Source organism: Homo sapiens, chromosome 8, assembly GCF_000001405.40.
Source record: "Homo sapiens chromosome 8, GRCh38.p14 Primary Assembly".
NCBI lineage: Eukaryota > Metazoa > Chordata > Mammalia > Primates > Hominidae > Homo > Homo sapiens.
Window position 1 is genome coordinate 22,823,548 of NC_000008.11, and position 24,864 is coordinate 22,848,411.

A 24,864-nucleotide genomic window follows, 5' to 3' on the forward strand; every position below is an offset into this window, starting at 1 on the left:
TATATATATCTTTATAGATATATTTGCATATGCATAGAAAATGTCTGAAAAAATACACACCAAACTGTTAACAGTAAATGTCATGAAGGGAAGATTGATATATCTAACTAGATATAATTTTGACTCTTTTATATGGCAAAAAAAGTCCAAAATAAAATTCAAAGACAATAAACTGAGGGCAAATATTTACAATATCTATGAAAAAATGTGATTATCTTTAATATACAAAGTACTCTTTAAATCCATAAAAAAAGACTAATAACTCAATAGAAAAATGGATGAACAGCATGAATGGGTAACTCATAAAATAAGGAGCACAAATGATCAAAGACCATACGAACAAGTTTACTAGTCATAAAAGGTATGCAAAAAATAAAATAAGATCCAATCTTTGCCCATAAAATTAACAAAAGTTTTCATGTTTATCTCGAGTTTTTAAGGTATGTAGAAACAATGGGTAGATCTCCAAATCCTATGAACTCTATAATGTCATTGTCTATTTTTTAAAAAGGAGAGAAGACCAAAACCACATATTGTACACATGTACATGACTCTATGGAGAGAAAACCAGAAAAATAGAAAGTTAAATGCTGACCGATGATCTCTAAATGATGGGATAATTATGAACTTTATTTTCTTCTTTGTAGTTTTTTGCATTTCCCAAAGTTTATGCAATAAAATGCATTGCTTTTATACTTAGACAAAAAGATTTGCACTCAAGGAAAAAAAAAGTCATGGTGAGAAATCCCAGAACCCTCATTCTTCTCCTGTTTAAACAATAGCCAAGGGAAGTCTTCTCAGTGGCAGACTGCTCTCCCTCCCTGCCCTGATGTTCCCCGTGGCCCCTCCTGTCCCTAACCCTACACTGCTGCCTGATTCTTTAGGACAGCGCTCCCCAATATTTTTGGCACCAGGAACTGGTTTCGTGGAAGACAATTTTTCCCCAGATGAGGGTGAGGGGTAGTTTCAGGATGATTCAAGCACATTACATTTATTGTGCACTTTATTTTTATTATTATTACATTATAATCGATAATGAAATAATTATAAACTCACTGTAATGTAGAATCGGTGAACACCCTGAGCTTGTTTTCCTGCAACTAGAGGGTCCCATGTGGAGGTGATGGGAGACAGTGACACATCATCAGGCATTAGATTCTCATAAGGAGCGTTGCAACCTAGATTCCTTGCATGTACAGTTCGCAATAGGGTTTGTGCTCCTATGAGACTCTAATGCCACAGCCAAACTGACAGGAGGTGGAGCCCAGGTGGTAACAGGAATGATGGGGAGTGGCTGTAAATATGGATAAAGCTGCACTCACTGGCCCACCATTTACCTCCTGCTGTGTGGCCCAGTTCCTAACAGGCCATGGACCGGTACTGGGGGTTGGGGACTCCTGCTGTAGGGTGAGTCTGCATTGCAGGGCACTGTTGCAGATGGTCATATCCTGAGGTTTACCCTAGATCTCCTCTCTGCTAAGCAGCCCCAGAAGAGACGTTTTCAAAGACTTCTGTGGTGGTCTTGCAGATCTCTCTCAATGCAATCAGGGAGCTGGGTCCCAGACCTTTCATAACAGTCATTGCCAACAGAAGCTCCTTAGCAAATGTTTGGCAGATGTGGCAAAGGAGTGCTTGTTCACCAAAGAAAGTGGAAAACAACCTATTCAAGAGCTTAGCCCTTAGCCAGGCTCCTTGAAGTTGGGCCCACCCACTTCTGTAGGTCCATGGAGCTGACAGGATGGAATAGTGTTCAGAGGAGATGAGCACGTCTTCCTTCTGGCCGGTGAAACTAATTTCTGACCATGGCAGCCCATTCTTTAAGCATAGCCAAGACAGAAGAACGTGCCATCAACACTTCCAACAAGGGAAGTGAATCTAGGGAATTTTATACTTGCCACATGTTTTCTTGCCTAGGATAGAGACTGTTTTATACTTCTGTAGGGGTATAGACCTAGTAAAATGCCAGCCTTTAATAGGTGCCCATGAATGCTTATTACACCATGGACTGGTGGTTCTTAGCTAATTCCTTCTCTTTTCTGGCTTGCTCCTAAAAGATGAGGTAGCTGAGCCAGGTGATCTACTTTCCCTCGGGTTCTAACATCCACATGGTGGATTCAGAGCTATCTAGACATACCATAAAAATAAGACTGCTTATATGATCCAGCAATCACACTTTGGGGGATAGAAATCCAGGTGTCACTGCAGCACTATTCACAATAGCCAGGATGAGGAAACAGTAGGATGTCTATCAACAGATGAATGGATAAAGAAAATGTAGTATATCCGTACAATGGAACACTATTCAGCCTTAAAAAGGAAATACTGTAGTTGGTGACAACGTGGATAAACCTTGAGGTTATTATGCTAAGTGAAACAAGCCAGTCACCAAAGGACAAATATTGTGTGATTCCACGTACATGATATATCTAAAATAGTCAAACCCACAGAAGCAGAGAGGAATGGTGGTTGCCAGGGTTGGCGTGGGGTGGTGGGGGGACATGGGGAGTTGCTCATTGATGAGTATAGACTTTCAGTCATGAAGGAAATTCTAGAAAGCTTGGTGTACAATACCGTGTCCATAGTTAACAATATCATATTGTACACTCAAAAATCTTTTGAGTATATCTCAAGGTAAGTGTTCTTATCACAATAAGATAAAATAAAAATAAACTAAACCCACTTGAAGAAGGCAGGATGAAATCCAAGTTCTTTCCAAAGACACTGCACATCTTGAAGCCTGACAGCACACTCTGCCGGCAAGGCTGCGGGGAAACTGAGGCTGCATGCATTGTTGTAGGAATGCACAATATGAGTGATGTGCCTTTTTACTCAGTGATTCCACTTCCGTGATTTTTCCAACTAAAGATATCTGCACACTTATGAAATGACTTGTATATAAGGTTATTCATTTCAGCCCTGTCACAGTAGAAAATAAGTGAACATTGTTGGAAATAACTCAAGTGCCCATGAGCTGGGGATTGGTTAATAAACAATGATATGTACTCAGAGTGGAAAACTTCGTAACTGTAAAAAAAACCATGAGGATCTCTAAGATCTGATATGAAAAGCTCTCCAGGATAACTTTAGTGTAAAAAGCAAGGCGCAGAACAGCATATCTATTGCTTTATTTTTATAGAAGAAGGAGAAAATAAGATATTTCTTCACATTTGCTTGTATTTACATAAACAAACTCTGGAAGGGTGCTTAAAAAACTAAGAGAGGCTGTGGGTGGTGGTATTGATATGGGTAGATGAGATAGAGACATCTATATGTGTGTTCTATCATTCTGATTTTTAAAGCCATGTGAATACCTATTACCTGCTAAAAATAAACCAAACTTATAAAATAACGTGGAATGTGCAGCAGTCACATAATATTTTGGAGGTGTATCATCATTATCCTGGAGACATCAGTCTCTAGTTCTCTTTCACTGATGCTGAGAGGTAAAGAAGGATGGCCTTGTCCCTTTGCAGCAAGGAGAGCTCAGAGAACCCTCATTCCACTTTTGAAGGTTATTTGGGGAAGTGCAACTGCTGGAATAAGACCCTGGGTGCTATGGAGCAGGGCATGAGCAAGGTGTAGGAAGCCACATTAACAAATCACAATACTTTGGGAGGATGATGATGACATAGAAACAGAATTAGATCTGGATTTGTCCAGATAAAGTTTTAAAAAACAGCTATATGGAGGTATAGTTTACATATAATAAACTTCACCCATTTTAAGTGTACATTTCAATGATTTTTAAAAAAATGTACAAAGTTGCGCAACGATCACCATAATCTAAATTTAGAACATTTTTATCATCCCAGAAAGAAATTTTGTACCATGTATGCAGTCATTCCTTATTCCCCCCGCCAGTTCCAAGCAACCATGAATCTACTTTCTGTCTCTGTAATCTCCTTTTTGCCCTTCCTGGACATTTAATATAAATGGAGTCATAATACTTGTTTTTTTTTGTGTTGGCATCTTTTACTCAGCGTAATGTTTTTGAGGTTCATCCATGCTGTACATGTATTAGTACTTCATTCCTTTTTATTGTTGAATAATATTTCATTGTATGGATAGAGACCACATTTGTTTATCCAATTGGTGGACATTTGGTTTATTTCCACTTTGGCTATTATGAATGATGCTGCTGTGAACATTTGCTGTAAGTCTCTGTGCAAACACTTGTTTTCAATTCTCTTGCTTAGACGTCTAGAGTGGAACTGCTGGGTCATATTGTAAATTTATGTTTAACATTTTAAGAAACTACCAAACTGTTTTTCAAAGTGGTTGCTCCATTTTACAATTCCACCAGAAGGTTCTAGTTTCTCCACATCTTTGTCAACACTTATAATTGTCTGTCTTTTGATTGTGGCCATGCTAGTGGGTGTAAACTGGTATCTCATGTTTTTAATTTGCATTTCCCTAAGGACTAGTGATGTTGAGTTCCTTTTCATGTCCTTATTGACTATTTTTATATCTTTGGTGAAATGTCTATGTCAATTTCTTGCCCATTTAAAAATTGGATTATTTATCTTCTAAAATTGGATTATCTATCCAGAAATAATTGTAATAGGTGTGTCCCAAGGAGTAAGGGAAAATGGAGGCAGCAGGGTGAGTGGAAAGCAAGATGGCAGCAAATATTTCCATAGATGGGAGAGGGGCTACCCAGTTGGAACTCTGCTCTGATCAGCTGTCAGGGCTGGACTTGCCTCATTCTTGAACTTCTGGTTTCCGGCCTCAATCCCCATCTGTACATGGGGTTGTACAAAGCCTTTGCCTTCCCTGCCTTCCCAGCCATCGGTCCTCAACCTCATCACTGTGCCTGAAATGTTCTTTTCTTCTTTGTCTCTGAGACAGTCCTATTTTCCTCCTCTATCTCTAAACCCTTCCATTCTTTGCTCTGGAACTGCCACTGACAACAAGCCATCTCCCCTGCATCCTGTCTCTCCAGCAATTGCTCTCTACCTCTTTCTGTTTTCCTGGCTTTCCCCTGAAGATCCCCTTCCCCTCACTGCTCTCTTGTGGTATGTGTTCTCTCACACCCCATAAACCTCAGGGTCAGGAGGTTGGGTAGACGCCATTGCACCCTGTTGCCTTCTCTGTGGCACACGCCATTAGTTGAATACATCCTCTGTCTTGGTTGCTGTCATCTATGACTTCTTGGTTGCTACATTCACCAAAGACAATGGCACCTGCTCCCAATCTCCTTCGTGTCCTTGAGTCTTGCTCTTACTCTGGTGACTTTAGCAAACATGTGGAACAGCCACCCAACACCATGGCCTCTCTGGTTCCTGGGTCTTTCCATCTCGGGCAATCTTTCCCTCTCTATCTCAACCATCGACTTCCATAGCTACACCCTGAAGCTGCTTGTCATCCCCCAAACGGCTCCACCTCCAAAAATCACTAATTCTGGCCATAACCCCCCTCTCTCCAGCTTGCTTCTTCAACTATGTCTACTGGGAGTAGTCTTCAACCTCAGTGGGGACCTCCAGGCCACTGGTAACTCCTTTCTCAAAGCCCATCAGTGGGAGCTGATAATTTTGCACAGCAGCGATTTTCTTCACTTGTGTCTTAATCAGCTTAAATGGCCAGAACCTGAATTCCCTTGTCCTCTGCCATTTGAACATTTTCTTGACAAAACCCCAAAGCTGGGTAAACCCAGCTTTCCTTTACTTCCATGTGTGACCTGAGCAGTGAGTGCTGCAGCAGAAAGTCACATCACAGAAGAGGTTGGCCCCACCCTATATTTTTGGCTACCAGCTTCATTACAGGCCCTGAGTGCCACTCCAAATTTCTCTGGTCAACTTGCCCTCCCACCCTTACTCATGACTTTCCAATATTTCAAGCCTTCTCCAATATCCTTAAATCTCCAACCTCCAACCTCCCCTAACTTCCCTGACCCCTCTCTTAGTAGGTAACATTCTCATTGATGACTTCTCAGGGGAAATTGAAGGCATCAAATAGTAAGTTCTTCAAGATCTTCTTCAAGGCTTGCAACTCCCCAGTGCATCTGCCCCCAATCTCTTCTTCTCCTCTCCCATTGTCTTAGTGAAGCTGAGTGGCTCAGGCCCCAGGAAGGAAGAGATTGCTTCCTCTGTCATGCTTTGGATCCTCTCCCCATCATCAGCAATACCTTCTCTCTCTTGAATATTCCATTCTCCTTTTCCTCCTCATCATTAAAACATGACCAAGTCTCTTTCATCTTTAAAGACACCTTCCTTGGCCCCATATCCTCCCCTGCTTTTCCCCTATCCTTGTCTCCTCCCTGCTTCACAGGCAAAATCCACGAAATAACTGTCAACACCCTCAGCCTGTTTCCTTACTTCCCACTAACTCCTTAATCCAATCTGCCCCCATCGCTTCTGCTGCAGCCCTTGCTAAGATCACCACCTCCATGTCACCAAATCCAATGGATGTTTTCCAATCCTCATCACACTTGGCGTCTCAGCTGCAGTTGACGTGGCAGCCCACCCCTTCTTTATAGCAATACCTTCTTCCCATGACTTCTGTGCTTCCATCCTATTCTTCTTCCTCAAGCCTTGTTTTCCCCACTGCTGGGTCCTAGGCTGTGGTTTTGTGTGTGTGTGTGTGTGTGTGTGTGTGTGTGTTTTTACGGAGTCTTGCTCTTGTTGTCAGGCTGGAGTGTAGTGGTGCGATTTCGGCTAACTGCAGTCTCCACCTCCTGGGTTCAAGTGATTCCCCTGCCTCAGCCTCCTGAGTAGCTAGGATTACAGGTGCGCACCACCACGCCTGGCTAATTTTTGTGTGTGTGTGTGTGTGTATTTTAGTAGAGATGGGGTTTCACCATGTTGGCCAGGATGGTCTCAATCTCCTGACCTTGTGTTGTGATCTGCCTGCCTCGGCCTCCCAAAGTGCTGGGATTACAGGCATGAGCCACTGCACCTGGCCAGCTATCTTCTTTTATCACCCTAACCTCCGACTCAGGAACATCAACCCACAGCCACATTTATTTCTCTAAACCAGAGCTGTCCTCTGAGATCCAGACCCTATGTCCAATGACCCACTTTCCATCTTCCTTTGGCTGTTTCAGAGCACCTCACACTCATCATGTCCAACAACATTGCCTGGTATTCCAGAGTTTCCTATTTTGCATCTGGAAATGCAAACTAGAAACCGGGGCACCATCTTTACCATGTTCCTCCCTCTTTTCCTCCTTTTCCAATCCACCGCCAATTCTTGTCAATTCAGCCTCTCAAACAGCCCTCAAATCCACCCATTTCCCCCCTATCACCACTACCACCACATCAACCACCATCTTTTGTCTTGGCTACTGGAATAGCCTCCTAACTGGTCTCTTTGAAACCCTAAGCAATTTTCTACACTGATCCAAAGTATTTTTTTCCAAAACACAAATAGATTATGTGATCCTGCTGCTTAAAATCCTTCTCTGGCTTCCCTTGGATCCTTAATGTGTTCTACAAGGTGTTGCACAATTTGGCCCTGCAACCAGCCCACTGTCCTTGTCATCTTGTACACATTCTCCTGCACCCTGTATTCCAGTTTCTAGGGTTCACTCTGCTCCCTCCCCACTCATCACCTTTGCATATGTTTTCTCTATGTCTAGAACACCCCATCCCTGGAACTACTTAACTTTCATTCATTCTTCAGAACTCAATTCAAGGTCATTTCTCTGGAGAAGTGTTCCTGAGCCCCATTCTAGATTATGTTCCTTTGTTAATCATCCTTGCATTTCTTTCCCTCTGATGCTCATCTCAGTTTATAATCAGTAAGACATTAATCAGCATAGTTTTTTATTAATGTCAGTGTCTCCCACAAGAGTATGACCCCCTTGAAAGTGGGGATGGCATCTATTTCTGCTTGCCATTATATTCCCAGTAGAGTACAGTGTCTGCACACAGTAGACACTCAATAAATATTTTTGAATAAATAAATTATATATTGGCCCAGGTAGTCCCATTGTTCATTCATTCAACAAGCATTGATTGAGCTCTTTTCATATACTAAGCACCATGCTAAGGGCTTGGGATAAGAGATGAGAGAGGCATGCCTCTGCCTTTGAGGACATAGTAGCCTACAGGGGGAGTTGGATGTGTGTGCAGAGGGTCCAAGGACCCTCTGTGCTGTAACCAGGCATATACCTAGCACTGGAGAAGCAAACCTAAGGACGTGATGGACCCTGCTCAGGGTGACCAAATAAAGACCAGCAGAGGATGCTACCGCTGAGCTGGTCCTGAGGAGTGGAGTGTGCTCAGGAGGGAAGGCCATGCCTGGCAAAGGAAGCAGCACATCCACAGGCAGGGAGCAGCAACTTGTGTTGTGTGTCTGGAGGGTGGAGTTCACAAGGCCAAGAGGTGAAGTGGAGTGGCAGTGGATGAGCCCAGCAAGATTGATGAGGGCAGATGAGCATGTGCCAGGGGAGGTTTGTAGATGAAAAGGGCGGGGGCAGGGGCAGGGGAGGAGTAGGGCTGACATGATCAGGGCTGGATTGTAGAGAGAGAATTCCTGCATGTGATGTGGTGGGGGTGGATAAGAATGGGCACGATAAAGGCCAGTGGGGGCTAGCAGACCAATTCGTGTGAGGGATGGGTCAGCATGGCACAAAAGTGGTCATTCCTGGAGGCAGACCAGTGTGCCACACCCTCTGTAGTGCAGCAATGCTGATAGGGGCTGCATGTTTGCAACTCCAAAATGCATGTGTGGAAGCCCTACTTCCCAAGTTGATGGTGTTCGGACGTGGGGCCTCTGGGAGGTAGTGATGAGGGTGGAGCCCTTGTGATGGGCTAGGTACCTTCATAAGAAGAGACACTAGAGAACTCACTTCCTCCCTCTCTCTCTGCTCTCTGCCAAGTGCACCCACAGTGAGAAGGCTAACTACAAAGCAGCAAGCAGGCCCTTGTCAGACACTGAATCTGCTGGCACATTGGTCTTGGACTTCCCAGCCCCTAGAACTGTGAGAATAAATGTGTGTTTTTTAAGCCACCCAGTCTATGGAATTTTTGTTATAGCAACCTGACCTAAGATGTTCAGGGAGAGGGGCTTTCCTGACGCAGAGAGAAAATCTCTGGGGCCCTCTCCTGCCTTGCCACTGGGGAGTCTTTGCGTGTCTGCCTTTCCCCAAGAGGAGAAACGAAAAGTATCCTTAGGATGGAATGTGATCAGATTTCAGCAGACATTGAGACAGTCCTGAGTCCTAGAAGCACTGGCAAGGTGGGGACTGTTTTTATTTTCTGTATTTTCTGATGCTGTGACACTTGGAGCCTTGCTGACCTGGAGAGACTGCCCTTCCCAGGGCTAATTCCTAGAGATAGCAAACACCCACCCCAGAGCACATTCTTCAAATGCCAGCCACCCACCCACAGCCCCCACCCTCACCCATCTCCTTTATCAGGCTGGGTCACTGTCCCTAGTCCCAATCATTTGACCAGACACTGGACAACAAGGGGCAGCCCCCGTGCCCCAGAGCCCACCAGAATTATTCAGATCAGCCAATCCTAAACCTGTCTACCCTGCTTACCCTGTCTCACCCATTCCTTCTAGCAAAAACCACAATAAAGGTTCTTGCCCATGCTTCCCCCGTATTCCCTCTGCCTCCTGACTGGCCCTGTGTGGTGTGCTGTGCCTCCTGTTTCTAGATATCTGTGAGTATGAACTTCCTTCATCACCATCATGTCCCTCTGTGTGTCTTACCATACCCAATTAGAAGAAATCCCTGGTATGTTTTAAAACAGGGCCCTTGACTCCTAAGGCTCAGTTATCCATCAAGCCTATCTGGAGTCTACAGGAAACTGAGGACCATCAAGCATGGCATGATCCCTCTTTCTGTTTTTTTGAGATAGGGTCTTATTCTGTCACTCAGGCTGGAGTGCAGTGGCGCGATCTCGGCTTACTGCAACCTCCGCCTCAAGGGTTCAAGCGAGTCTTCTGCCTCGGCCTCCCGAGTAGCTGGGATTACAGGTGCATGCCACCACGCCCAGCTGATGTTTGTATTTTTGGTAGAGATGGGGTTTCACCATGTTGGCCAGGCTAGCCTCGAACTCCTGACCTCAAGTGATTTGCCTGCCTTGGCCTCTCAAAGTGCTGGGATTACAGGCTCTGATATGATTTCGAATGTGGGTTACTGTCTCCAGCACTCTCTTGTCCTTGAGTAGGAGACTGAGCTGACCTGGCTAGGTTAAGCTTCACGATCGTGATTAGTGGAGAGCCATTTTCTCCAAGGCAATGGTCTCACCCCTGCCTTAATGTGAGAATCACCAGGGGAACTCTTCAAGCTACCAAGGCTGGGCCCCACTGGGTGGAGGTTTTGATTGAAGGAGTCTGGAGTGGGGCCCAGGTGTTGCTGTTGGTTTATAAGTTTCCCAGGTGATCTAATGTAGAGTTAGGGACAAGAATGACAACCCTAAAGTCTAATTCCCCTGAAGTCCGTAGCCAAATCTATGACTGACTACAACCCAGATTTCTCCCCTCCTCATCAGTGAGCTCAGTTCGGTTCATTAGAAGACTATGTGTCTTCTTCATAAAGAGGACAATCTTCCCCTGACCTCAGCTGGGGACCCTTGTGTCCTGGGTCCTGGAGATGAAGGGGATCCAGCACCCAATTGAGAAGCTGAAGTCACAAACACAAGTCGCCCTGCGCTCCCACTATTCGTGATGATGTTGGTTGCCATACAAATTTAGCCCATAGTGGGCTGGTTGTGTTTGAGCCTCCCCCACCAAGTTCTGTATGGGAAATCTAGTTAAGAGCCTTCTTCCTGGGGGAGGTTGAGTGTAACAGCTGCTCTTCGCCAGGGCTGATGGGCCCGCCAGGATGCAAGCCGGGTGCTGCCCCTGGAGCCGAAAGCCTTTCATCCCCAAGGACGGGTTCGAATTTCAGGCTGGTGTCCAGCAGCCAGGCTGGTGTCCACTGCTGCTGCTGAGGACAAAGACACATCCTGGGCTGTGAGGACAGAGGCACCTCCACCCAGGAGCTGGGGTTCACAGCATGCTCTGACACATTGAGAAAGAGGTATTGTGCAGTTGCTGTGGATCAGAGATCCTCCTCCCTTGCTTGCCTCTATTCTAGAAGCTGGGAAGCTAAAACACTGGATTTCCCAGGCTCTACTGCATTGAGAGGCAGCCATATTCTGGCCCAGAATATGTAGGAGAAAATCCCTAGGGAGGGATCTCTTCTGGAATAAAAGGCAAAGTCTCACTTGGAGAAGAAAATCCTTGCTGTCTTTTGTCCCCTCACTCATTTCCTTCTTCCTGCCTGGAATGTGAATGGGATGTTGGTGTATTGAAGCCATCCTGTGACTGAGAGGGGACAAGTGTGTGACTGAAAGCCTGTGTTCTAAAGATGATAAAGCAAAAAGATGGAAAGAGCCCAGTCCTTGGCTGAATCAGCCCAGGATTCAGCCCCTAGACTTCTTGTTGCATGACACAAACCAACCCCTTAGTCTCCTATGATAGGGATTTTTCTCCCTTGTCCCCAAACACATTTCTATTAACGCCTAGGTCACTTCTGACAAGTGGGTGCCAGAGGCTGGTCTCCAGAAAGGCGACCTAACGTTGTGAAGAGGTTATTCGAGTAAACGAGTAAATGCTGGGGTACGTGGATTCCAGCCCCAGTTCTACATATAGGCTGTGGCTTAGGGAGTTATTTACTGTCACTAAGGTATAGTTTACTGATCTGCAAAATGGCAATAATACCTGTCTCACACAGCAGGGCTATTCTAAAAATAAAATGAGTTAAAAGCATGGAAGTATTTTTAAGACTGTGAAGCAATGTCTGTGGGTCAGGTTTTGTTATTGTGAACAAAAGGCATCAGCAATTTTTTCCACCGGCCCCTGGAGCAGCAGTGACCTTGACAGCCGGAAGACTTCCTCCAAATGGTCCATATCTCCAGCTGCCTGGAGCCAGAGAGACTGAGCTTCCTAGCATCTTTGGTGGGGCTAGAAATAAGCGGCCCGGGAACACTGGTGCACATGGAAACACAGCATCTCACAGGCAGCCCTCTGGTCCTGTCCATGTCCCCAGGGGGTATTAAGCTCACCTGGGAATGGGACTGTTACAGAATCCTGGAGCACTGGAAGGAATAGGGATCATGTTGCCTTTATGGTAAACCTAGCAGGAACCATCCAGGATCTTCCACAGCCTCCCAGCAATGGGTCCCCCACTATCCTGGGAATGCAGTTCATTCTGGTACAGCTTAGGTTGTTAGAAAGCGCTATGTCCCATGGAGCCCCAAAATGCCTTCTTCAAACTCACACTGTCTCCAAGAATGACATTAGAACAGGCCCTGTCCTGCTTGCGCATGGCAACCCCTCAGATATTTGAAAGCATTTATCACGGCTTTCAATGACCGGCTCTTCAGGCAAAAGGTCCCAGTTTCTTCACTAATTCAGCTCCCTGGGGCTCCATCCTACATCCTGCCTCAAGTGGCTCACAGTTACTGAGGGAGACAGACGTGTAAACAGCAACAGTGTGATGCAGGGAAAATCATCTAAACAGACATTATTATTCTGAGTCTATAAATGGAAAAATGGGGGCTCAGGGTCTCTGCCTAAGGCAGTGAACTTCAGATGTGAATCCTACTCGGCTGCTGTGCAGCCTTGGGCAAGTTGCCTAAACTCTCTGGGCCTCAGGTTCACTATGTATAAGATGGAGATAATAATCAAAGTGCTTTTCTCTTAGACTGCATGCATATTAAGTGAATTAATACATGGCTCAGAATAATGCCTGGCATATGTGAAGCGATCAACACATGAAAGACAAGTGAATGGCTTCTCTGGGATTCAAAATCATATCGCTTGTCTCCAAATTCCACTCTCTTCCCCCTGCTCAGAGGGTAGAGGGACAGATTTGGAGCTGACTTTTACTCACAACAATATGGTATTTGTTTGTGTGTTGCAAATTCCTGCACACCTAGGTCTCTGGACACTTGTGCAATTTAAAACATCCATGCTACAAACATATACTTGTTGGCAACATGTTCCGGCATCTCCGAATCAAGTGCCTTCTGCCACTGTGCTGCCCAGTCCTCTGGGGAAGACAGTCCCTCTAGAGCATCTGCCCACTCAAGATGGCTGGGGAAGGAACGCTCTCGCCTGGCTCACATGGCTCTGGCTGTGTGCCAAGGGGTGTGGGCCAGCCGGGTGGCGAGTTCAAATCCTCATTGTACTCTGTCCCCTCCTCAAAGTCTGTGCTGTGCTGCGTACCCCGGGTCACTGCAACTTTTTTGTCTTAACAAAGCTGAGAAACGTATGTAAATTTCAAAGCTTCATCCGCAGCCAAGCAGGCAGCAAAAATCACTACATGTCAAATGATGAATTAAGATATTATCCATACTGCATGAAAGGGAGAGAGAAGAGGAAACTGATGGAAGAGAAAGAAAAAAAAAAAGAGCTCCTAAGCAACAAAGGGTGTGGATCGTTTCTTTAGTAAAGTAGCAATCAGACAAATATCTCTATCTCCCAAGCTACATTCATATCCACCATCCTAACCATTTCCTCCTCTGACTTAACCTGTTTCTATGAATGGCACTGCCATTTTGTGAAATTCAAAGTATGAATCATCTTTCGACTCTTCCCTCTCAAAGTCACGCCCAATTCTTACTGATTTCTGAGTTTACAGTCTCTAGAATCTATCCTCACCTTTCCCCATCCTTTCTGACACCCTTGAGCGAGGTCTGCGCTAGCTCTTGCCTCTATTTCGATAGCATCCTAACTGGCCTTCTAACCTCTAAACCTCTCTTCCTATTCACTAGATGCTTGCTTACCATCAGAGAAAGCTAGTGGTGTTTTGGTAAACCAACTCTCTCAGGAAAAAAAGAAAAATCAGGCCGTGACTTGTAGCGATTGTTCATTTCCACGGGTGATATTCACACCGTGGTCTGTCCAAGCTACCAACATGAGGTGAGTGGCTGCAGCATTGGAAAGACGTAGAATTGGCGTTTGCAAGCTCATTGCTGCCCGATAATCTTCCTAAAGAACAACTCGCTACAGACTTAGGCCCTAAATATAAACTTCATAACCTGGCATCTGTGGCCCTGCACCTCTAGCTGTCAGTTAGCCTGCCCAGGGGACTCCATCATACCCATACACATGCCCACACAGACGGAGGATGTTTCTGATCTCCAGTGTGATTCTTGCTTCCCCACCTCTGTGCCTTTATTTGTGTAGTCTCTCTGCCCATCAGAAAATCCTTCCCCTTCCTCAAGACTCATCTCATCTATGAATACTTCTTTGAAGTCCCTTGGACCAGAGAAGCTGTCCTCATTCTTTGAACCCCAATAGCATTTTGCTTGTACCTTTGCTGAGGCACCTTCCATATTCTGCTATGTATTTGGTTCTGTGTGGGCTTCTTTTGGCCTCTCTTATTAGATTATTATATTCTTTTTTTTTTTTTTTTTTTTTTTTTTGAGACAGGGTCTTGCTCTGTTGCCCAAGCTGGAGTGCAGTGGTGTGATCTCGGCTCACTGCAACCTCAATCTCCTGGGCTCAAGCAATCTTCCAACCTCAGCCCCCTGAGTAGCTGGGGCTACAGGCACACGCCACCACACCTGGCTAATTTTTAAATTTTCTTTGTAGATACGGGGTCTCCCTGTGTTGTCCAGGCTGGTCTGAAACTCTTGGGCTCCAGCGATCCTCTCACCTTGGCCTCCCAAAGTGCTGGGGTAATACATGTGAGCCACCTGCCTGGACTTCAATTATTATATTCCTGACAGAAGAACTATTATTTCTTTGTTGCTCCTGAAGTGCCTAGCATACTTTCTTGCACACAGTAGGTGCTTAAGACATATTTGTTGAAATGAACTGTACCCATTTTCTCTGTTAGGAAACAGGTTTTTTGGTTTTTTTTCAATGTTCTGGAAAGGGAAAGAAATTTTTGGCCACAGAGCTGGATGAGCCCGTTGGACTGCTGGCCCTGACACTGTATTGCTTGCTAAGGAGCCTGCACCTTGGCTTGGGAGACTCGAAGCCTCTGGTCCTTTACTTCCTCCCTCACACATGACACTGCCTTCTAGAAAGTCAAGACCAGCTCAGCAGACCTGACGCTCCCTCCCAACAGCATCCACAGAAAGCACTGGTGGGGTTGGCTCCTGGCTAGGGCCGGCAAGTTCAGCGTTTGCCTAAAAGCTAGGCCGGGGCCTCAGCCGACCCAGGAAGCCTCGGCGGTGAAGCCAGAGCTGGGGCGATGCTGCCAGGCCTGGCGCTGAGCTGTGGCTCGGCCCCCTCTGCTCTCGGCCTAAGCCGCCGCAGTCGCCAGGGCCCCTAGTGTGAAGGAATTTGAGTTCTAACTTTAGGTGGCTACGTGGCTGATGGCTGTGTTTGTGAATATCTCATTCCTACTTTGGTTGCCCAGCTGGTGGGAACAGAACGGGTAGTCATGGGACTGTCATCGTGTGCTGTCCAGGTTAACATGTAGCATTTCTATTACTATTAACAGACTTTCTGCTCCTCACTCCATCTGTTCTCTGAAATAATTGCAGTTGTACAGACCATGCCTTCGCTACAGGCAAGCTCTGGGGAAGAGGATAGTGCTTTTATGAGAAAAAAAAAGTGTTAAAAAATAACAGCAAACATGAGAAGAGAGTGGGGATGGAGCTAGCAGCAGGTTTCCAATTTCTTTCAGATTCCGGCCTGCAAAGGTGGCGTTTTTCACACTTGTTCGGGATGACCAAGCCCAGATAGATGGGGGTGAGAGGCTGGGCTGGCGGCTCAGTCTTTAGGACGTGGTGTTGGTCATCACGGGATTCAGCCCCAGTTGAGGTGGGTGGAGCCTTGGTTGGGCTACCCAGCTGGGAGGGGCGGGGCTCTTGGGAAGAGGCAGGGGCTTTGGGGGTGGCATGGCGGTGTCCTGCTCAAAGGAGCTAGATGGGCTCAAGGCCTGGGGGAAAGGCTGGTGGATCAAGAAGGGCTGGTGGGGAGGCAGAGGCTGGAACTAAATGACTGGTCCTATCTGGGCCTCTGATTCTCCACATGCAAAATGGGAGAGGTTCATCTCAACACCTTGCTTTCTTGAAGGGCTGTTAGGAGAATGAATGGGTTACTACAACATAGTGAGGGTTCTTCTGGCGAAAAGGACTACAAGGGATGATGAAGACTTGGTGTGTGAAATACAATAGCTACTGGTGGCACAAAACAAATACTTGCAGGGTTGAAGCCTCTGGTTTCTAAACCTAGTGTGTGTGGGTTTCTGTCTTCCCATAGGGTGCTAAACAAGGCATAACTGAGAACCACAACCTGACAGACCCTCGTGATTTGTTCCGGTTCCTTCCCTCCCACTGCCAGCTCTTCCACGTGAGGGGCCCATCTCATCCTGTGAGGCTGAAAATGGTGTTTTTTACCCCCTCGCCCAAACCCCAATTGGAATGGCTGAGGAGGGAGGCAATGTTGAGCTTTTTAGGAGTGAACTTGTTGGGGAAAGAAAGAAATGAATTAAGGGAAGACAGCCATGAGATTTCTAAGTGTTCTTCCAATTTCAAGGAAGTGTTTTCATTTAAAAGAAATCCACAGAATGTGACCGGTCTGCTGTAAATAAGACATTTGTTGGGGAAATTTTTTTCTGTGTGTGGGACACTATACTATTCTCCATACCCATCAGAAGATTTTATAAAATTCCAGAAAGGCTCAGAGAATCAGATGAATTATATCTAACCGTGATCACAGTGTAAAACACGGTTCAGGTTTCGGATAGATTTTGCCTGTCTTCCTTACTTCATATTACCCTCTAAACTGAGCATCGTGGCCTAGATTTTCCTTGAAACTAGGTTCAGTGGGGACTGGTGGGCCTTTAACAAAGAATTTTTTAAACACACAGGTGTGGATGAAAATGTGACCCTATTGGCTGGGGTGTCCCAAAAGAACATGGTTCTTTTCTTTTCTTAAAAAAATTTTTTCTTCTTTTAATTTTTTTTTTTTTTTTAAAGATGGGGTCTTACCATCTTGCCTGGGCTGGTCTGCAACTCCTTGGGCCCAAGCAATCTTCCTGCCTCGACCTCCCAGTGTGCTGGGATTACAGACATAAGCCACCGTGCCCAGCCTTGGTTCTTTTGTTAGGGAATTGGAAGGGTGAGAACTGTGAGCAATTCCTGCCTGTTGAGAAATTTTCAGAGTTACCTTAGGAACACCCACATGTTCCTCTTGGGTCAAAGACTTGGTTGGAAGAATGTGGGGAAAATGTGAATCAGTTGCTTGGGAGAATGTCTGTGTTAAAGGCTAGTTACATCGCACTGGCTTTTGGTGTGTTTGCTCCCATCACCACCTTGTGATCTCTGCCAGGGACTGGTGGCTGGCTCTTAGTGTCCTCTGCTGAGTACTGTGGCCCAGTGCCTGACACACATGAGACAAACAATAAATGTGCATGCTGAGTGCATGAACAAAATACAGGAAATATATAACTAATGGTACCAATTGCCAAGGAGTTTACCACCAAGTAAGTGCCTTTTCCATAAAAAGCAAACCCTGGATGTATAAATTGATGTAATCAGCAATAAAAGATTCTCGAAGAAATAATAGCTACCATTAGTCAAGCCCTTTTCAACTACATGCCAAACCCCTCATATCCCCTGACGCATTTTATTCTGCAGCCAACACACCAGCTCAGCACTATCATCTCCATTTTAAAGAAGAGAAAACTGAGGCTTAGGGAGAAGACTGAGTAACTTGCCCAAGGGCACATCATAAGTAAGTAGCAAAGGCAAAAATCAAACCCAGCTCTGTCTGACTGCGAAGCAGCGGCTCTTAGCCACTCTCTTCTGTGGCCCTTTGAGGGGGTGGAAGCAGGATTTCTGTAAAGTACAATCATTCCTACTTCATCTGTCAGAGTTCTTTAGGGGGTAAATAACTTAGTGGGAAAGGAAATTGTATTTAGTTTTTCAAAAGCTTTTGACAAGGTTACTTTCAAAATTAAGAACCTTTGGTGCCAAATATTTTGTCATTGATAGGGAACAGCTTAGGGACAACAACTAACAAAACAGCAAACGGGTCCTTTCTCTATTCACTTCTAGGTTGCTTTCTTTTGGGTTCAACTCTAGGCCTATTTATTCTACACCTTCATGGAAGAGGAATTGTGCAATGAGGCCTCCAGGTAATCAGAGGATCAGGGAGGCCCTCTGCATGTGCAAATGCCACCTGGTGCAGATAAATCCAGGCTGATGCCAAGAGGCTATGTGAGAACAGAGAAAGTTGGCAGCCCTGTGCTAGAATGAACCCTGCATGTAGTTCTGGGAGGACAGCTTGGAAAAGGATAAGAATGGCTACAGACTGTTCCCTAAAGACACCAGCCCAAAGGGCCGCTGAGACCTGAAAAGACAATGAAAGGTCAAGCTTCACTGGGAAGGAAACACACATATATTGGTGCACTGCCTTCGCAGAGAACCATCGTAGGCCTGCCTAGGAGTGCTGTCTTTGGTTTCCAGTGCTGCTGCAGAAAGGGCCACTCAAATGGCCAAATATAAGAAACGGGCAAGAGAGAGGGAGAGGCCATGTAAGGACAGAAGAAGGAGACGAGGTATGTTCAAAGTATTTCAAGTTACTAGGAGTACAAATGTTCAAACACAGTCTTGGTTATCAAACCCTGGAAGGCAGAACTAGAGCAAACTCTTGACACTTGAAAAGGAAGCAGTTAGTACAGATAAAAGGAACTGCTAACTTACACAGTGGGTAGTCAACTCGTCTAATTCATTATCCCCAAGAGGTGAGACAGGTTGAAAATACAAATTGCTCTTTAAAACGTTTGGAGAAACTGGCGGATGGTCGATTCACAGTGGATTCTTGGGTAGATCGTGACTTTTAGGAGGGGATCCCTAAGGACTGAGAGCAGAGAGGAGAACTGTGGTTATTAAAAGTCTGGGTATGGTGGCCAGAGGCAGCATTTCCAGCCACATGGAAAACGGTTCATTTGGACCCAGGGTGCCAATTCTGATGCTCTTGTGGGGCTGAAGGAGGTAGGAAATATTAAGTGCATATTCTGAGTAGAGTGAATATGGCTTACAAAAAGTAATTGCTGCTCCCTACAAATATATGAGCCATGTCATCAGGGAGAACCTTAAAAACCTGAGTTTAAAATCCATGGGGCTTTGGAACACTCTTGCGATGAAATGGAAGGAGCATGACTCTGTCAACAGACCAGGATCCCAACAGGCCTGCACAGCCATAGGAAGGGTGTGCAGGGCCGTTCCTACTGCCATAAGACGCAGGGCTGGCTTCACCTGCGTGCAGCCTCTGAAGCTGCACAGGCCCTGCACTTAGAAGGGCAGCTGCTTGGTTTAATGCTCTGCTGTTGCCATCTGGAAATTCTCGATACTTTTTGAACTACAGGCCCTGAATTTTTATTTTTATTTTTTGAGATAGAGTCTAGCTCTGTTGCCCAGGCTGGAGTGCAGTGGCGCTAACTCTGCTCACTGCAACCTCTGCCTCCCAGGTTCAAGTGATTCTCATGCCTCAGCCTCCTGAGTAGCTGTGATTACAGGCGCCCGCCAACACATCTGGCTAATTTTTGTATTTCTAATAGAGACGGGGTTTCACCATGTTGGCCAGGCTGGTCTCGAACTCCTGACCTTAGGTTATCCTTCTGCCTTGGCCTCCCAAAGTGCTGGGATTACAGGTGCGTGCCACCATGCCCAGCTAATTTTTTGTATTTTTAGTAGAGACAGGGTTTCTATGTTTTGGCCAGGCTGGTCTTGAACTCCGACTTCAGGTGATGCACCTGCCTCGGCCTCCCAAAGTGCTGGGATTACAGGTGTAAGCCACTGCGCCTGGCCAGGCCCTGCAATTCTATTTTGTGCAGGCCCCCACAAATTATGTTGCTGGTCTGGTTAGCAACTACTCAGTTGATCTAATAGTGGAGGGGCCAGAGAAGGGCCAAGGAAGAAAGGCCAATCGAGGCAGCTGGATCCAAATGATACCAGGAAGTGGGACATGTATAGAATGAACAGTTTCCTAGGAAATGGGTTGCTCCATCTAAGTGTCATACACAGGCTTTGCTGAAAACATTTCCTAATGTCAGGGAATCAGCCAAGAGAAACCAGGCCTGGGAGAACCTGGGGTGTACTTGACGGTGCTCAACCACCTGCTGCATGGCCAATCCATGAATGGAATCATCTAGGAAATTCCAACATCATCTAGAAAAGAGAAAATAAAATTAGCCTTATTGGGCCTGGTCCTGAGTGGATGTTTGGAAGTTGAATGTCAGCCTTGCCCCAGACACGTGTGTTTTTCAGAAATATTCTTAAGTAATGACTTAAGCTTATGACAAGGGCCACTCCTGAGTTATCTGGGAAGCTCGAAGAGCCTGGATTCTGGATCAAGGGTGAAGACGATGAAAGAGGGAAAACAAAGACCCTCACAGGAGTGAGGCGATGCCCCTCCGCTCCTCTCATCTCTCCTCTGACGGCTCTGAAGCAACATTTCTAACAAGCACTTCGCTCTTGGGGCCTTGGCTTTTCCATTGCCAGAGCAAGTCAACTCAAATCCTCCTTAGAAAGCACAAAAGCGCTGATTCAGTTGGAAAAGTGGGGAAAAAAATACCACTACTGAAATAATAACTGGAGTGCTCATATTGTCACAGAAGTAATTACAGAAGAAACACCAAGATTCGGCCCCGGAAATTTTCTAAAGATGCTTCTGCCTCTATAAACCGGCATTTTCCAGCTGACAGAGAAAGAAGTTGCTATAAATTAGGACGAGACTGTACTAAAGGAAATCCTGGATTGCAAGGCTGTACCCGGTTAGAAAATTTATTTATTTATTTATTTTGAGACAGAGTTTCACTTTTGTTGCCCAGGCTGGAGTGCAAAGGCACGATCTCAGCTCACCGCAACCTCTGCCTCCCGGGTTCAAGCGATCCTCCTGCCTCAGCCTCCTGAGTAGCTGGGATTACAGGCATGCACCATCACACCTGGCTAATTTTGTATTTTTAATAGAGACGGGCTTTCTCCATGTTGGTCAGGCTGGTCTTGAACTCCCAACCTCAGGTGATCCACCCACCTCAGCCTCCCAAAGTGCTGGGATTACAGGTGTGAGCCACCCACCATGCCCAGCCGAAAATTTCAAGTATCTCAATAAGGGGTCCCCTGCGATTTTCTTCCCTTTCACTTAACTGTGTTCTCTTTTCTCTCTCTTTTATTTTGATTTGTTTTGTTCTGTTCAGAAAGTTGGTTCTGTTGGGGATATATTCCTCCAGGAGTTCAGGGAGAGACCACTCCTTCCTAGCCAAGGACTTCAGAGGTGTGCCCTGGCCCACTGGCCGGGTTACTGCTTTGCCCCCAGCCAGAATCTGACGTATCTGGGATCTGACTCTGACTCCCACCCCTGCTCAAAGCCATTGGTCCTTAGTTGATTGGACCATGGTGGGCACTTGACCTGGGGCAGCCAACCCATAAGCTAGCCAGTGTATGCCCTGGCACAAGGAAAGGTGGGCCACTCTCAACCCTATGAACCAGGGCCCATTAGCAGGGGGCAGGAGAAATCAGGGTCATGGCAAACTAAAGCCCCATGCAGGCAGGGCCCCCAGGAGCTAATTTACCCAGGATGCAAAGGGGAGAGCAGCAGTATAAAGGGGAATCAGTTGCCCAGACCGCCTGAGGCCTGCCAGCTCTCCATTCTCTATCTGGTCCTCATGCATCCCCTATATCAGCCTTCTAGTCCTTGAAGGATGAAGGAAGACTTTCCAACAGTCAGCGCTGAGCAGCTCTGCAATGGGCTGCCTGGGAGTGAGGGTGGGGTTAGGGAGGAAAGTAAATCCATCATCAGACCAGACGCAGTGGCTCACGCCTGTAACCCCAACACTCTGGGAGGCCAAGGCAGGAGGATCACTTGAGCCCAGGAGTTTGAGACCAGCCCTGACAACATACCAGGACGCATCTCTACAAAAAAAAAAAAAAAAATTGCTGGGTGTGGTGGTGTGTGCCTATAGTCCTAGCTACTCAGGAGGCTGAGGTTGAGCCTGGGAGGTTGAGGCTGCAGTGAGCCATGGGTGCATCATGGCACTCTAGCCTGGGCAGCAGAGAGAGACCTGTCTCAAAAATAAGTGAATAAACCCAGCAGCACATGGTAGAGATGTTCTAGGGAAGCTTCAGAGCCTCCTCTGATCTTGCCATTCCATGAGTCTGTGTATTTTGGCAGGCTGGTCAGCTCTACATCCATCTCTGTGGCCTGCTGGGGGAAACACCTTGCCATCCTTCAGGTTGAGAAATCCATTCTCAATATCACAGGTATTCCACCCACAGTCATTCTGCCCTCATGCCCCATAAGGCGCCTCTCGCCTCCTTAAGCCACTATCAGGCATTATTGGTTTAGAAATCTGTCCTCTGATCAGATCGCAGGCTCATCTGGACAAGCTGCTCAGCTCCTCTCTGGACCTGGCACGGGCCTGGCCCGGCACAGAATGAATGCGCGAAATGACTGGCGTGGTCAGCCAGGCCCTGGATGGGCAACCTTCTGCTCCTGTATTCCTGCTTGCTGGGGTTGGGCCCGCCTAGGGGATAGCTTGGATGGCAGAGACTGGGACAGCCGCTAAGTGGGGGTACATCTAAAAGAGCTAGAGATGCCAGGAGAAATGTCCTTCTTCTATGCGGACCTCCATCTTTGGGCTGTTTCTGGTGGGTTGCTTCTCCTGTCTGTGTCCTCAGAATGCCACCCTGCATACACTGTGTGCACAGATCAGGGCATCTGTCTCCCTCCCATGGTCAGTGGCCTCTCACAGGCATCAGGGGAGGCTGCACACTGGGAGGCAGATTGGGAGAAGCAACAGCCTGGGGAGTCCCGGGCCCCAGAGTTCTGGTCCTGCACGACCAGGGCTGGCTCCTTCCTCTCCCTGTGCCACCTTCTTTTGAGTGGAAAAGGGGAAATGTGGCTCTTAGAAGTAGGAGCTCCTGCTTTTAAAGGCACTAAACCCTGGATTGGGAGAGAATCTGGTGGCCTTGGTCAAGCCATCATGGGATCGTCATCACCCCATTCTGAGAAATCGCATCAGGTTCCCTCGCCCCACCCTAAACCTACCTTTTCACTTGGCTGCTGAGCCTGTGATAACTGAAGTGTCACCACTGCGATGCCCACAGTTCTCCTTCTCTTGGAGAGGAGAAGGCCAGGGTGACAGGGAGTCTAGGTTTGCACCCCAAGCCAAGTAAGAGGTTGTGTCACTGATCCCCAAAGCATCTCAACTCCACTCCCTCATGAGGTTGAACCCACTGGGCCCGGAGTCTCCAGTTCCCTGCCCACATCTACCATGGCCTCACAGTGGCCAACACTGGTGAGTTGCAGAAAGGGGACTCAATACAAATGTCACCAAAAACTTGTAGTGTTTGGGTTTGGGCCAAATAGAGATTGCCTGTGTAGAGACAATGGAGGGTCATAAAGGTGACATAACAAAGGGGGTCCTGGCAGGGCACGATGGCTCATGCCTCTGATCCCAGCACTTTGATAGGCCCAGGTGGGAGGATCACTTGAGCCCAAGAGTTTGAAACCAGCCTGGGCAACGCAGGGAGACCATGCCTCTACAAAAAATTTTTAAAAAATAAAAAAAAAGGGGATCCTGGTAAATTGGTCCTCAAGAGAAATCACTTCCATCACTGTGAATGATGTGCATGTCCAATCCACACCCCCAAAACAAGTCATTTTTCTTTACGTTATTCCTTGACTATGCAGAAGGTGGGCCCATCCCTCTGAGGCGGAGAAAGGAAGTAGAGGAATGTCAGCAAGTCATGTTCAAAGGTCAGGGGCCCTGGGGCAGCAGGGTCAGAGCCGAAAGTCAGATCTGCCATCCTCTCCCATCCTACCCTGGCATACAACGCTTTAAGGTGTCACTTCTGCTTTAGAGATCTCTATATTTAAAATATATCCTTGGAAAAGAGTCTTCTACTCTACCTCCATCTTTTTCTCTGCTCTCTTGAAATCTCCATTTTCTTGGAGATTTTATGAACTCTGTCTAGTTGGAAATTCAGAACACCATCATGGGGTGGCAGGAAGACCCCCAAGGGACAGGAGATCCTGGTTGCAGTTCTGGTTTTATCCCTAACTAGCTGGGTAACTTCGGGTCTCCTCCTTGTTAAGATGACAGGCTAGGTCCCCCTCTGCTTCTCATATGCTTTACTTTGAAGGCTAAAGCAGCCTGGGTTTCATGAGGCAAGAGAGAGTCACCAGGCAGCCCCAGGAAGTAGGTCCATGGTGGGGGAGGGTAAACCCTAGCCCCTGTCCCCTTCCCTACAAAGATGGTTGTCACCCCTAGGAACAGCATCAGGGAAGACTGGGTGAGTGGAGGAAGCTGAGGATGGTCTGAGTTCTACGTGTCTCCTTGAGCAACCCTGCTCAACCCCAGCCCCCAAAATGCTCCAGGAAAGATGCCTGGACCTCAGGTGGCTTCGAGAGAATGCTCAGAACCTGAGCCTGCCACTCTCAGTGGGGGTAATCGCTGAACTCTGTGAGCCAAACACCTAGAAAGAGCTGAAATGACTTTAAATGCCTAAACATTTTAAAACAAACCTTACAACACAAGGCTTTTAATTTTTTTTTCTTTTGCCCCAGTGCTAAAGCTCTCTCTCTCTCTCTGTCGCTTTCTCTTTTGGGGGGAATTCAAAAGCCGTTTTATGCCTCATTACCTGCACACTGTGAGTGATGTCTGTCGGTCCATGTGCTGTAAATACCTTAAATCATGCTTCATTAAGAATATCTATGGTGCTATTAAAGAGCTATAATAGACAACGAGTTAACAGATGATTAAAGATGAATTCCATTTGTGTCAGTCACCAGCCAGAGAGAGACGAGAGGCTGTAAGTTCTCAACTCATTATCCAAGGGAGTGCAGCTCTTCCTGGATTTGTGAGGAGTAGGGAGGCAGGGGAGGGTTGTCTGCCTGCCGAGAGTGGAGTATGGGGCGAGCAGGGTGGTGGCGATGTGGGCTGTGCCAGGGGAGGAT

General features: G+C 46.6%; 1 protein-coding gene and 1 long non-coding RNA gene across 3 annotated transcripts in view; both read right to left on the minus strand.

The window, feature by feature from the left end:
• The window catches only part of PEBP4 (phosphatidylethanolamine binding protein 4), a 227,827-nt gene that overhangs the window by 110,297 nt on the left and 92,666 nt on the right, over positions 1-24,864 (minus strand). The gene's annotated exons all lie outside the window — the stretch shown is intronic.
• LOC124901906 (uncharacterized) lies at positions 18,617-23,373 on the minus strand. Its single transcript, XR_007060853.1, has 2 exons — positions 22,954-23,373; positions 18,617-20,075 (listed from the first exon to the last, which is right to left on the minus strand). It is a non-coding gene; the product is annotated as an uncharacterized LOC124901906 (long non-coding RNA).